Source organism: Homo sapiens, chromosome 13, assembly GCF_000001405.40.
Source record: "Homo sapiens chromosome 13, GRCh38.p14 Primary Assembly".
Lineage (NCBI taxonomy): Eukaryota > Metazoa > Chordata > Mammalia > Primates > Hominidae > Homo > Homo sapiens.
Window position 1 is genome coordinate 25,033,398 of NC_000013.11, and position 14,508 is coordinate 25,047,905.

The 14,508-nt window shown below is 44.0% G+C and overlaps 1 long non-coding RNA gene across 2 annotated transcripts; it reads right to left on the reverse strand.

The window, feature by feature from the left end:
• Positions 1-1,104: 1,104 nt before the first annotated feature.
• Positions 1,105-14,141, reverse strand: LOC105370119 (uncharacterized). Of its 2 annotated transcripts, none has more exons than XR_941760.4 (3): positions 12,289-14,141; positions 10,146-10,363; positions 1,105-7,076 (listed from the first exon to the last, which is right to left on the reverse strand). It is a non-coding gene; the product is annotated as an uncharacterized LOC105370119 (long non-coding RNA). The 2 variants fall into 2 exon arrangements; XR_001749796.2 differs by having other exon boundaries at positions 1,105-4,266; positions 12,289-14,076.
• Positions 14,142-14,508: the final 367 nt, after the last annotated feature.

A 14,508-nucleotide genomic window follows, 5' to 3' on the forward strand; every position in this document is an offset into this window, starting at 1 on the left:
CAGCACTTTGGGAGGCTGAGGTGGGTGGATCACCTGAGGCCAGGAGTTCGAGACTAGCCTGGCCAACGTGGCGAAACCCCGTCTCTACTAAAAATACAAAAATTAGCTGGGCATGGTGGCGGGCACCTGTAATTCCAGCTACTTGAGAGGCTGAGGCAGGAGAATCGCTTGAACCCAGCAGACGGAGGATGCAGTGAGCCGAGATCACACCATTGCACTCCAGCCTGGGTGACAAGAGCGAAACTCCATCTGAAAAAAAAAAAAAAAAAAGAATTTCAGAGTTTTCTGTCTCAAGAAGTCATTTTCCTACATACTGGAAACAGGGTGGTCATTCCTAAAACCTCTGAGTCTGTCCCCACTACCGCCTAACTTCCTAGCCAAATCCAAGCCTTGAGAAACTCCGCTGGAACTGCCTGCTATTTCCCAACTGTGCCGACAACTTCATGGGTAAAAGATGCCATTGTGGCCGGGCGCGGTGGCTCATGCCTGTAATCGCAGCACTTTGGGAAGCCAAGGCAGGCGGATCACGAGGTCAGGAGATCGAGACCATCCTGGCCAACACGGTGAAACCCCGTCTCTACTAAAAATACAAAAAATTAGCCGGGCGTGGTGGCGGGCGCCTGTAGTCCCAGCTACTCGGGAGGCTGAGGCAGGAGAATGGTGTGAACCCAGGAGGCGGAGCTTGCAGTGAGCCGAGATTGCGCCACTGCATTCCAGCCTGGGCGACAGAGCCAGACTCCGTCTCAAAAAAAGAAAAAAAAAAAAAGATGCCATTGCTTCCTGCTTAGCAGAGAGGGGCCAGGAGGACCATTGAGGAGGTGGGGCAGCAGCAGGACCCCCAGAACCGAAGCCTGTGTCTCTGCTGTCTCATCCCTTCATTCTTCCCGGCTCGCCACAGCTCAGCTACCTGGGCTTTCACTTCCTAAACACAAAACCTCTTCCTTCCCCAGCAGGGCTTCTGCATGTCCAGCCACCTCACCTAGAATCCTCCTGGGGCCTCCTCTCCACCACTGCCCCCTGGTTTCTGTGGCTAGGTGGTTTTCGGGTAAAAGTTAATATTGTTTTTTGGTTTTTTTTTTCTTTTGGATTCAGGAGCTACGTGAGTGGTTTGTTACAAGGATTTATTGCATGACAGTGAGGTTTGGGCTTCAACTGATCCCATCACCCAGATAGTGAACACAGTGCCCAATAGGTAAGTTTTCAACCCTCTCCCTTCCTCCTGCCTTTTGGAATCCCCAGTGTCTATTTTCCCATCTTTATGTCCCTGTGCACCCAATGCTTGCCTCCCACTTATAAGTGAAAACATGTGGTATTTGGATTTCTATTTTTGCATTAATTCACTTAGGGTAATTGGCGTGGCTAGGTTTTTTGTACAATTCAGTTCTCAGCTTAAATGTCACATTCCAGAACATGCTTCCTAGCCCATGCTGTCTAGAGGGAAGCCCGTCATAGTCCCTGAAGAAGCAGTCTTGAAAGACACAATCCCAGCTCTTAAAATTCTGAAAGATCAAAAATCCCTAAAATCCAAAATCCTGAAAATATAATTCTGGAAAAAATAATTTTAAAAATTCCTGAAGATATTTACTTACATTTTAAGGGGAGTGGGTGTGGGCACAGTGGCTCACTCCTGTAATCCCAGCACTTTGGGAGGCTGAGGCAGGTGGATCACCTGAGGTCAGGAGTTCAAGACCAGCCTGGCCAACATGGTGAAACTCCATCTTTACTAAAAATACAAAAATTAGCCCGGCCTGGTGGTGCATGCCTGTAATCCCAGCTATTCGGGAGGCTGAGGCAGGATAATCGCTTGAATCCGGGAGGCGGAGTTTGCAGTGAGCCCAAATCACACCACTACATTCCAGCCTTGGCAACAACATGAGACTGCATCTCAAAAAAAAAGGGAGGGGGGGATTTATTTGAGAAACATATAAAAACACAACAGAACACTTCATAGGCCGCTTTACACAATAAAAGAAGCAATACTAGCGTACATGTTTTTGCAAGAATAAATACTCAGGTATACGACTATACCTGGCACAGATATAGCATTTATGAGCAGATAAACTGTATTCCTAAAGAAGTAGGTCAAAAGGAAAATGTGTAAACACATATCACTATGATTGGTAATTGTGTGCAACCAGCTTTGTATATGTGCTCATCTGAAATACTGTGATAAAAAACCGAAGTCTTTTGACAAGATTGATCAAAAACCACAATGGATTACCACTACATATGCAGTCACCCAAAGAGCTGAGATCTCAAAAAATGTTGTCTTTTACAAATGCAGGTGTACAAAAAGGACATCACTGAGGAGGTTTCAATGTTTTCATGTACATACACAATGTTTATACACAAAATCAACATTGAGATAATGAACTTTCATGGAGTCACATTTGCAAAAAAATGCATGAAACAAATTAGGACTCTCTAAACGTCTCTGCACAACCTATACGTCAAGTTTTGGAAATGATGCAACGATGAAATATATAGCATAGTGAATTGTTTTGCTATTTAAAATAGTGAAAAAAATAGAAGAAAAGGAAAAAAAACCCTATCCTGTGATTGTGATTTTCAGAATTTTAGACTTTAGGGATTTATACTTTAGGATCTTTGATCTTTTGGGATTTTAGCATTCAGGATTATGGTATTTGGAATTTTGTCTTATTTTCAATAAAAATGCAAAAGTAATTCAATGGAAAAGTATCATTTTTTCACCAAATGGTGCTGGAACAGATGGATGTTCATGTGCCAGAAAATGAACCTGAATCCATATCTTAGGCCCTATATGAAAATTAACTGAAATTGATCGTAGACCTAAATGTAAAACATAGATATATAAGACTTCTGTAAGAACACATGGAAAAAAAATATTGCACTCTCGGGTTAGGCAAAGATTTCATACATGTAACAACAAAAAGCACAATCCATAAAAGAAAACAATTGGTAAACTAGATTTCATCAAAATTAAAAACTTCTGTTTTTTGAAGGGCACTATTAAGAAAATTAAAAGGTGGGGAGAAAACCACTACACACCTTTAGAATGGCTGAAACTCTTTAAGGTGATGATAACAAGTGCTGATGATAACAAGTGCTGTTGAGAATGCAGAGTTACTGGAACACTCATTCATTGCTGGTGGGAAAGTGAAATGGTGCAAAGACTATGGAAAACAGTTTGGTAGTTTTTTAAAAAGTTAAAAATACCTACCACGTGACCCAGTCATTTGTACGTAGATATTACCCCAGGAGAAAAGAGCACATTTGTCCACACAAAGTCCTGTACCTGTTATTTAGGCAGTAAACTTATATTGCATCAAGTCACAGAAATGCTGGGGTCTGGACAAGGCGTGGTAATGGGGACTCAGGATGGTGGACACATGGAGGGACTGTTTAGGTAGAACTGGCTGGCGGTCTTCTTATTTGGTTTGGGCTGCTATAACAAAATGCCATAAACTGGGTGGCTTATAAACAACAGACATTTATCTCTGACAGTTCTAAAGGCTGGGAAGTCCATGTGAAAGGAAAATATCTTGGGACTCCAAAATCACTAAGGAAAACTCAAGCCGGGAACTGCTTAGGGCAAACCTGCCTCCCATTCTATTCAAAGCCATTCCTCTACTCACTGAGATAGATGCATATCTGATTTGCCACCTTTGGAAAGGCTAATGAGAAATTCAAAAGGATGTAACCATTTGTGTATCACCTATCTGTGGCCTGGAAGCTCCCTCCCTGCTTCCAGCCTTCCTGCCTTTGCTTCAAGTTTTCCCGCCTTTCCAGACCGAACCAGTGTTTCTTACATATATTAATTGATGCCTCATGTCTCCCTAAATGTATAAAACCAAGCTGTGCCCTGACCACCTTGGGCACATGTCATCAGGATTTCCTGAGGCTGTGTCACAAGCACGTCCTCAACCTTGGCAAAATAAACTTTCCAAATTAACTAAGACCCGTCTCAGATTTTCTGGTTCACATCCGAGAACACTGCATCAGCAGATTCAATGTCTGGTGAGCGCCACCTTCTGGTTCACAGGTGATACTGTCTCTCTTCATTCCCACATGGTAGAAGGGACGGGACAGCTATCTGAGGCCTCTTTTCTAAAGGCACCAACCCCTTTCATCAGGCCTCTGTCTTCACGGCTTAACCACCTGCCAAAGCCCTCATCTCTGATACCATCATCTTGGGGCTTAGATTTCAACACAGAAATTTGCCGGGACACAAACATTCAGCCCATGGCGGTGATGTACTGGATGCGGAGGAGAGTGGAGAGATACCTGAAAAGCAAGACAGAAAATTAAGGGACTGGGAAGTTACTCTGTGGGTCAAAGGAACGAATTCAGAGTGGGACATGTTGAGTTTGAGTTTTCCAGTATGCAGTTAGCTGTATGGGCTTAGCAAAATGAAATTTAACAATATGCTATTACTAAGTTATTTGTTATCTGGAGTTTACATATTCAACTTTTAAAAGATAAGTAAATCTTAACGTTAAAACAATTATGAGAATACAGATTGTTATAAAATTCTCACAAGGATATTATTCCTTCTGAATATGAACCACTTCAGTAAGGCCTCCTACCGCACTGGACTCTCCCCTGAATAAAACCTACTGTCACCAAGCCAGTACTCGATCAACGGTTTTGAAAAGTAGGTTTTACTAATTCTCAGACAATCTCCTGTTTCACAGCAGAACCCCAAAGACTCCCACAGGCTGCACAAACAAATAAAAGCACATTTTGTAACAACAGCCAATATAAAGAAGAAGGAGGGGAAAAAACCAAGAGCCTAACTGAAAAGTGAACAAAGGAAATGAACAGATAGTTGCAGTAAAAGAAATACAATGGCCCTGAAACATTCAGAGATCACTTAAAATAGGAGAAATGTAAACTAAAACCACACTGAGACACCATTTTCCATCATGAGATGAGCAAAGATGAAGGAATTTGTTCACACGCTGTGTTGGTGAAGGCTTGGGAGACAGGTTCCGTCTACAGGAGACATAAATTGGTATAATCTCCACAGAAGGCAATTCATCAACATCCCAATATTTAATATGCCCAAAACATTCCTTTTCAACAAATCAATATCAATACATTTGATTGACAAACATGCTTGTATATGTGTGAAATGGTTTAAGTTTACAGTTATTCACAGAAGCATGGAAAAAACTGAAAGCCTATCTACAGAGAACTGGTTTATGTCATATGTTATCACCATAGAACAGAATACCATGCAGCCATTGAAAAGAATGAAAACGGTGGCAACAACCCAAATTTCCATCAACAGGTGAATGAATAAACAAAATATAATACATACACATTATGGAATATTACTCAGCCTTAAAAAGGAACAAAATTCTGACATATGCCACAACATAGATGGAACTTAAGGACAATAAGTTATGTGAAATAAGCCAGACACAAAAGGACAATACTGTAGAATCCACATATAAGAGGTACCTAGAGTAGGCAAATTCAGAGACAGGAAGTAGAACGGCAGTTGCCAGGAGCCTGGGAGGGCGAGTGGGGAGTTATTGTTTAATGGATACAAAATTCCAGTTTTGCAAGATGAAAAGAGTTCTGCAGATAGATGGTGGTGAAGGTTGCAAAACAATGTGAATGTGCTGAATGCCACTGAAGTGTACACTTAAAAATGGTAAATAAGGCCAGGCACAGTGGCTCACACCTGTAATCCCAACACTTTGGGAGGCTGAGGCGAGAGGATCACCTGAGGTCAGGAGTTCGAGACCAGCCGGGCCACCATGCTGAAACCCCATCTCTACTAAAAAAAAAAAAAAAAAAAGCCATACGTGGTGGTGCACGCCTGTAGTCCCAGCTACTAAAGAGGTTGAGGCAGGAGAATCGCTTGAATCTGGGAGGCAGAGGCTGCAGTGAGCCAAGATCGTGCCACTGCACTCCAGCTTGGGTGACAGAGTGAGAATCTGTCTCAAAAAAAAAAAAACGGGCAAATAAAACACAAAACTTTTAGAATCCAGGGCTTTACCTTCTAATTGGTCAACATATAATTGCATAACCAAATTCTTACGGGCAAATCAGGTCTTTTAGAGAAGAAAAAAAATAAAGTTTAATTCAGTGGAATTAACATGGTTGGAAAAATGATTTGTTTGGGCAGAGTCCCAGAGCTAACAGTAATAAACATAATACTTAACTTTAAAAATGCTTGAACTTTTCTCCAAAGAACATATTTCCACCATCAGGGGAAGTGTTGATTTTCATATTATTCAAGCTATCTTTTATCCCTCTAAATATGAACATTTTGCAAGTAGTGTGGCTACTCATTTCCTGATAATAGACATATTCTAATAGCTAGACACGGAAGTATTTTCTAAAATGCCACATTTGCTATCTAGAGACACAACCACTGAAAGGAAGTCTGCTAATTAAGACCCCAAGATGACTATCATTTTATAAACTAACAGACCTACTTTCATCATAAATTAGGCCAGGCGCGGTGGCTCATGCCTGTAATCCCAGCATTTTGGGAGGCCAAGGCGGGCGGATCACCTTAGGTCAGGAGTTTGAGACCAGCTTGGCTAACATGGCAAAACCCTGTCTCTACTAAAAATACAAAAAATAGCCAGGCGTGGTGGTGGGCGCCTGTAATCCCAGCTACTCGGGTCGGGGAGGCAAAGGAATTGCTTGAACCCAGGAGGTGGAGGTTGCAGTGAGCCGAGATCGCGCCACCGTACTCCAGCCTGGGCAACAGGGTGAGACTGTCTCAAAAATTAATTAATTAATTAGTTTTTCATTTTACTAAGAGGCTCAGCAGAGTTTTCAATCCCCTACTTCATTTAAAATACAAACCCAAAATATCAAAATTTGAAACTTGTTGAGATTTTCCATGTAGTGTAAAATGACCAGTGACTGTGCTTCACTCTGGATATGCTGGACTCACTGCACCAGGAGATCCCTCCATGTTTTCAATCCGAGGAAACTGCAGGCATCTAGGTCTGAGACAGAATACAACAGCAGAAACAGCCTTCAGTGACGGACATTCCTGTGGCTAAATGACTGCTGAATGGCCCTGCTGCTCTCTCAAGGCTAAGACATCGAAGCTGAAGACAACGCTGTTTCACAAAGGAACAAACCAAAGAGAATAAATTAGAGTGGAGAAATCCTCCCCTCTAAAAGTTTTCTCAGTGAGACCTTCCCTACCTCTTGTATAAAAAGGAGAAAATACCATTATTCTCGCAGCCTCATAGTAACAGAGAGGATGCATGGATAAAAGGGGTTGATACTTGAGAGGCATTTGGGATTCTTAGAGAAGACATGTTCCATTTTAGGCTGGTTTTTAGAAAGAACAGAGAGGGCCTTAGAAACTGATCAAAACCCTCTTCCTGCAGACAACACATCTAAATATTTGGGAATTTGGCTTGATAAGCATTTGTGCATTTGTGCAAGACTTGCACCCAGGTCCCCTGATGCTCCTCTGGCCCATTTTATTCTGTGCCTCGCCATCCAAATAAAATTCTCAGATGCTCTAATCTTCGTGTTACAAAGGCTTTGTGCAACAAAAATATATTTCACTTGTTTGGAATTTGGCATGTATTTTCCTTAGAAACAGGGTATATGATGACTAGGTCCCCAAACCAGCCCAAACACCTAATGTGTACATGTGAGACCTTGGTATGCTAAAAACACCTGCAAACCTGACACCCTGGAACTGAATTTGTCATTCCAACTTGAAATGCCAGGAAGGATGGAATGAGCGACAGCTGCACTTCTTTCTGGGGACCCCTCCAGCTCCATATCACTGCTGATATCATGAAGAGGGGAGCTGAGCTCCATGGGTGAGGAGCAGGGCACTTGAAGGTAATCCAGGGACACTTGGTCCCCAGGCTGGCTTCCTCGTCCCTGGGTGTCTCTTCTTCCATCCGTCTCAGCATATGGACCGCTGGCTGTTTTCCTCTCTTTAGTCACTGTCTAGGGTTGTGACCAGTGTTTTTCTCCTCTGCCCTGATGTTGCCCTCAACACAGTCTTATATTCTTATGTTGCCTGTGTATCCTTCTGTCCTGGAAATGAACACTCAGGCAGTCTTTTAGGACTTTCCAATGATTTACGACTACTATCAATAATGAAGAAAGACAGCCTTCTCTTCCTCTCCTGCAGCCCAGTCCCTTTTATTTCCTTCAGACCCTGATGAAATTCCTCCAGGAAGATAAGGCTTGAAACCCCACAGCCAGACTCACACTGGGGTAGACACAACCAGAGCTAGGATTTCTTGAGCCATACTCATTGGACTGGAGGAAGACCCTCGGCTGAAAAGTGGGACAGAGCCTGGATTGGGGTTGGGGTGATGAGAATGTGCAGAAGACAGGCATACGGAAAGAAGCCACAGCAGGGGAGGATCTGGGTCTCTGGCCACTGAGCCCCAGCAACAGGCATTCCTAGGTGGCTGTGCCACAACACAACCTTTCCAGTGATTCCCTGGTGCATGGCCGCTCACCCTCAGCCGGATTATAAACTACTCAGGAAGAAAGGTCGTGACACATCTTGTGCCCCCATCAGCACTGAGTATACAGGGAGTGACTGATCAATATTTGTTGAGTGGCTTGAACTTCCAAGCCACTCAATGTCATTACCATCTTCAGTAGCAGAGGGGAAGAAAGGGCATTTCACTATGCCACACCTGAGGAAGTCATCAACAGCCAGAACAATCATTTTTCCTCATCTTTATACATTTGTGTTTGCTTGTTCTGTTCCTTAATTTCAGGGGAGTGTGTCTGTGGTGAGCAAAAGCACCAACTGAAGAGACCAGCTCACCTCCCGACTCTGTGCCATGTGATGTGCACAGCCGGCCAGTTACACAGATGTCTGGCTCAAATAAGGAGAAACAGACCATTCGGTATACCTTGCAGGGACTTGCACTCACTTTCAAAGCTGACTTTTCAAACTCCAAGTGCTGGCACCGATCCCTGTATGCACAGCTCTGAGAAATAGGCAGCGTTTTTTGGCTGGGATACCAGTAGCTGTTCCACACAAGAACCTGTTTCTGAAAGCACCTATCAAGGAAAGCTACTGGATCTTGTTCAAGCAGTGCATTCTGAACGCTTTCTCTGTTCCTTGGGAAAGCGCCACCGGCCGGGAGTATTGGAGCCCTGCTCTTCAGCAGGGATACTGCAGAATTTAGTCCAGGGCCTCACACTTAGAAGTAAAGAGGTTGGTCCTCAAGGGGGAATGACTGGGAGAAATGAGAGGAGGACACAGACCGCAACTCCACCCCTCACCATGGGAAGGGCAGGTGCTGCAGGGCTGTGATAGAAACAGGCTTCTAGAACAATGCACACTGTTTCTATTCAACTTACAGATAAAGGCCAAGAAGAGACCTCTTAAAACTCTTTCAGCAGGCTGGGTGTGGTGGCTCATGCTTGTAATCCCAGCACTTTGGGAGGCTGAGGCAGGCAGATCACTTGAGGCCAGGAGTTTGAGACCAGCCTGGTCAACATGGTGAAATCCCGTCTGCACTAAAAATACAAAAAATTAGCCAGGTGTGGTAGCAGGCACATATAATCCCAGCAACTCAGTAGGCTGAGGCAGGAGAATCATTTGAACCTGGAAGGCAGAGGTTATAGTGAGCTGAGACTCCACCATGCACACCAGCCTGGGCAATAGAGTGAGACTCCGTCTCTCTCAAACAAACGAACAAATAAGCCTCTTTCAGCAAATGAGAAGACATTAAATGAATAAAGTAGACAACTACTCTCCCTCCCTTTGAAGGCAGAATATGAAGTAATGAAGGAAGTTAAGGACACAAACCCAAGTACTTTGAAACTCTGATGATTGAAGAATACCAAAACATCTGTGGCAGAAGACACTAGAACTTTCTTCTCTGGCCGACTTGAAACAGTATTGATTCCTATTGCAAAGTAGTGCTGTGTAGTCCAGCCAAGGTCAAGGCACTGACTACAAGACCTGCAGGCTTCGCTCCGGACCCTGTTATTTTATGACCACATATTTTAATAATTTGAGTCTTTTCCACACATTCCAATTATAACCTTGTTAGTTGCTCAATGCCTCAGAGAAAACCTTCAAATTCTACTGTCTGCCCTTTACAAACAGCCTGAGATACTCACAGGTATCTTGTTGGAAATAAGCATGTATAATGCCATGCAGGTAGAAGGTTGCCCTGACTTACCTTCGTGGCCAGGACGCTTGTGAGACCTACGCTTCGCCATCTGTGTGGTGTTGCCATTTCATTTTCATCAGGCCTGTGGTACTGCACAGGCAGCGAATATGACTCTGATCACTCCACAGCTCAAAAAAGGCAGACAGACAGGTCACCCATAGCTGGAACTGGAGCTGTCATCAGCTTCATCTGCCCTCTTCAAAACTTGACGGGGTTTGAAGCTGGCCCTGCAGAGGTGAGAGTGAAAATAAAGTACAAAGCAAGATAAATATAGAATTCAGTTCTGGATTTTTTTTTTTAAACAACCAACAGAATATACTAATGTAAAAATAAATGGCCACAACTCACTCAACCATTTATTTGTGCTAGGAGAGAGTACTAATGGGAATAACGAAGCAATTGAAACAGGTCAACAGGTCTTGTCTTCAAAGTCATAGACCAGTGTCACCTTTTTTATTCTGTTATGGGCTCAAAATTCACATGGTGAAGTCCTAACCCCAGGGCCTCAGAATCAGACTATATTTGGAGATAGGGTCATGATAGAGGTAATTAAGGTATGATGAGGTTATATAGGTGAGCACTAATCCAATATGACCGGTGTCCTTATAAGGGGAGATTAGGTCACAGACAATACAGACAGAGGGACGACCATGTGAGGACTCACTGAGCAGGTGGCTGTCTGCAAGCCAAAGAGCCAGGCCTCAGAAGGAACCATCCCTGCAGACTCACTGGTCTCATGCTCCCAGCCCCCAGCACCAGGAGACAATCAGTGTCTGTTGCTTAAGCCCCCGGGCTGTGGTATTTTGTGATGGCAGCCCTAGCAGAGACATTCTCTCTCGTCCCCTGAATCCCATTTTTTAACACTGACTGGTTTTCGATCCACTTCACTTGACTCTTTTTTCTTACCCTCACTTTCTTTTGCTTCGTGGAGCCCCTCTCCAGCTCCTCCTTTCACCTGCTCTGCCTCTTTCTTTGTCTTTTAAAAGAGTTTCTCTTGGGAGGCCACGCGGGCGGATCACAAGGTCAGGAGATCGAGACCATCATGGCTAACACGGTGAAACCCCATCTCTACTAAAAATATAAAAAATTAGCCAGGCGCGGTGGCAGGCGCCTGTAGTCCCAGCTACTTGGGAGGCTGAGGCAGGAGAATGGCGTGAACCCGGGAGGCGGAGCTTGCAGTGAGCCGAGATCGCGCCACTGCACTCCAGCCTGGGCAACAAGAGCGAGACTCCATCTCCAAAAAAAAAAAAGAAAGAGAAAATTGCATTTGAATTCTTGAATGGTTGTTGTGAGGTTCAATTAAGATAATGCAGTGGAAAATGCTTTGTATATAAATCACCATAGCTCAGTTTTTCTACCTGTAAAATAGATACTCCCTAGCATTTTACAGTATAGCAGTCATGAAAAAAAAAATCAGCCAATAAATAAAACTTCTGTGACTCCGAATAGTATATATTAAAGGATTATTTCTACTGTGGTTTTCATCAGCCTGGTAAAGCTTATTTTTGTTTTTTCTGCCAGTTAACATTTATGAAAAGTGTTGTATTTTGTATTAGGAAGAGGATTCTAAAGACACAAAAGACCTGGTTCTTGCCTTCAGGGATTCTGTAATCTATTTGAAAAAATTAAATTTTAACAGTGAAATCACTAATAAAATCAGTTCGAAGAGGTTTTCAGCATTGGGGCACACATACCTAAATCTCCATGCAGGACCAGCCAGGTCCATACCTGAACTTTCTAGGACAACTTTCTAGATGGAGATTTCTCCTATCACCTCTCTAATGTAACTACAAGTGGAAACTAACAAATCTGACCAACATTTAAAAAGTTAATAAAAGTTTCAATAATAACTGGTGGGTTTGCTTCAAACAAATCTAATACTATATAGCAACTTATAGCATACTTATAGCATACTTTAAAATACAAGTGCCTCTAAATGTCTTAAAATCATAAATAACAAAATTTTAATTTTCTCAACAACTTCTCAGAAACCCTGGGGAAAAAAAGGTTATGGACAACAGCAACATTCCAGTAGGAAAAACACATATTCTTCAGAAATGCAATTGATATCTAACTTTAGAAATATGTGACTTTAGAAACATCTCAACCAAAAATAAAATTGCCTTATTATTATTTAGAAATTTGCACTCACCATTAAGAATGATCAAAATATAGTCCTTCAGGTAGTGAGGTTGTAGGGATCAAATGGCAGAATGTCCGGAAGCGCAGGTCATAGCAGTGGCTTTTGGATTAGGAGCCTGACTAACTGTGAGACATGAGGCTCATCACTGCACTTTTAGTGTTGGTCTCCTCCTGTTGTAAATGGAACCAATAGTGGCTGCCTTGAAAGAGCAAAGGCCACCACGCAGATGAACCCCGAAACTCAGCTGTGGTCAGTGTACCTCTCCCGGCCATTAGCAGGGGCTGCCCTGGTGGCGTCTCACGACAAGAATGTATCATAGTGGTTTACAACTGCTTCCTAGCATTTCCAGTTGCCTAAACTGTGAATTTTTCTAATTCAATTTTGTATGTCCCTCTCACCACTTATCCCTCTTCTCCCAAGTCTAGCACTGTACACAGCACATAGAAGAGCCTTAATAAATGTTTGGTGAATGAAATATATGAGTGAATGACTAACACAGAGAATTTGTAAAATGGAAGTACTACTGTAGCTACGAAAAACTGCTCTGGAAACGATCATTCAAACCCCTTGCCATTTTTTTCCCCATGGTGTATGGCTGAAACAAGTAATCTGTGAGATAATAAGACAAAATTATCTGGCATATCTAGAAAATACCTATCGAAATAGCATGAAGTTGATTCTCTCTCGTCCTTTATGAAAGTCACACACTTCTAATATATTTTAAGATCCGACAGTAAAACTGTCTGAATTTTTAATACTGTGCCTGCTACCTGATGCCTGTGTTTTTCTTTTGCAAATTTTTTTGGCCAGTGTTTGAAAGGCTGAAGACCAATTCGTTTTCATGGATCCAAACCTGGTTCTGTATTTTCTTAAATGATAACAATTAAGAAATTCCCATCAGTAGATGCTACTTGTAAACGAAGAAACTTTTTTTTTCCCTTTGGAATCTAGTAGTATTCTAACTTTTTCATGTCTTCTATCAGACCACAATTCAAATATTTTCCAAAGCAGAGGACGACGGTACTAAGCAGATGATAGCTCAGAAGCCTGATTCCCTACCCAAGGGACAGAGGCTGTGAGATGACATTGAGAAAGAGACCCGGGTCCAGTGAAGCATCAGACACGCTGGCGCATGGGGACGAGGAGCCCTGGAGACTCAGGGCCCGTCTGGTGCGGCCCGGGCTTTGCTCCGCGCTCGCCCCCTGCAGCTGCCGGGGCCGCCGCAACTTTTCAAACCTCACCGCACCGACAGCTCTGTCCCTTCTTTTATCTGGAGACGCTGAGCCTCATCAACTCTCACCTGCGTTTCAGGAAAAATAATAATAATAATAAATGTTCCACGGACACAGGATTTCGGCCAAATGCTGCTTAGCTCTACCTTCCCCAAAAGGGCGGGAGGGGTGGCAACCAGTAGCGAAACCCCGCTTGCCTGTCTCAGCAACTCTCCCACGTCCGCAGGAGGCCTTGCGGGGATCCGAGCATCCCGCTCCGAGATGGAAGTGGTAGGACAGTCCGGGAGAAGCCGACGGGAAACTGTCCTGGGCGCGCACCGCCCCCGTGCCCTGCGCCCTCCTCATTTGCTCGGCCAGCGCGGGACCTCCCAGCCGCTGGGCCCGCGACCGCGGCGAATCAGTCTCCGCTTCCCCGCCCAGCAGAGCTCAGATCTGCTCTGGAGGGCTCTCGGGATGTCGCCTTTCCCTGGAGATGAGCAGTTCTGCGTCACCCTCCGTGGCCAGCGCGGCTTCCAGGGCTGGGCTGGTCTATTGTTTGCTGTTCTTGAAAGGACGTGGGGAGGGTGGGAGGGTGGGAGGGTGGGAGGGCCGGGGCTGAGCCGGGGCAGGCAGACCTGGGGTGGATTCCTTGCAGGGATTTTCTCTCCTGCTTCTCCCAGTCCCTTGCTGTCGCATATTCATAAGAAGGCGGGGTCGCTTCCCATCGCCTTTGAATCTTCCAGGCTTGTGGGTGAGAGGAAAAGATCTGGGGCAGACAGGGTTTGGGAGGGATCACTAGGAGGAGAATAGGGTGGGAGAAAGAGCGGTGATATAGACAAATAAGCAAACATAGGGTTCCTGTTCACAATTTCTTCCTCAACTCTCAGGCAGCAAGCGCGCGTGAGGACACGCACACACACACACATTTATTTTTTCTTTAACTTTTATTTTAGATTCAGGGGTACATGTGCAGGTTTGTTATATACGTAAACTCGTGTTAAGGAGTTTGTTGTACACG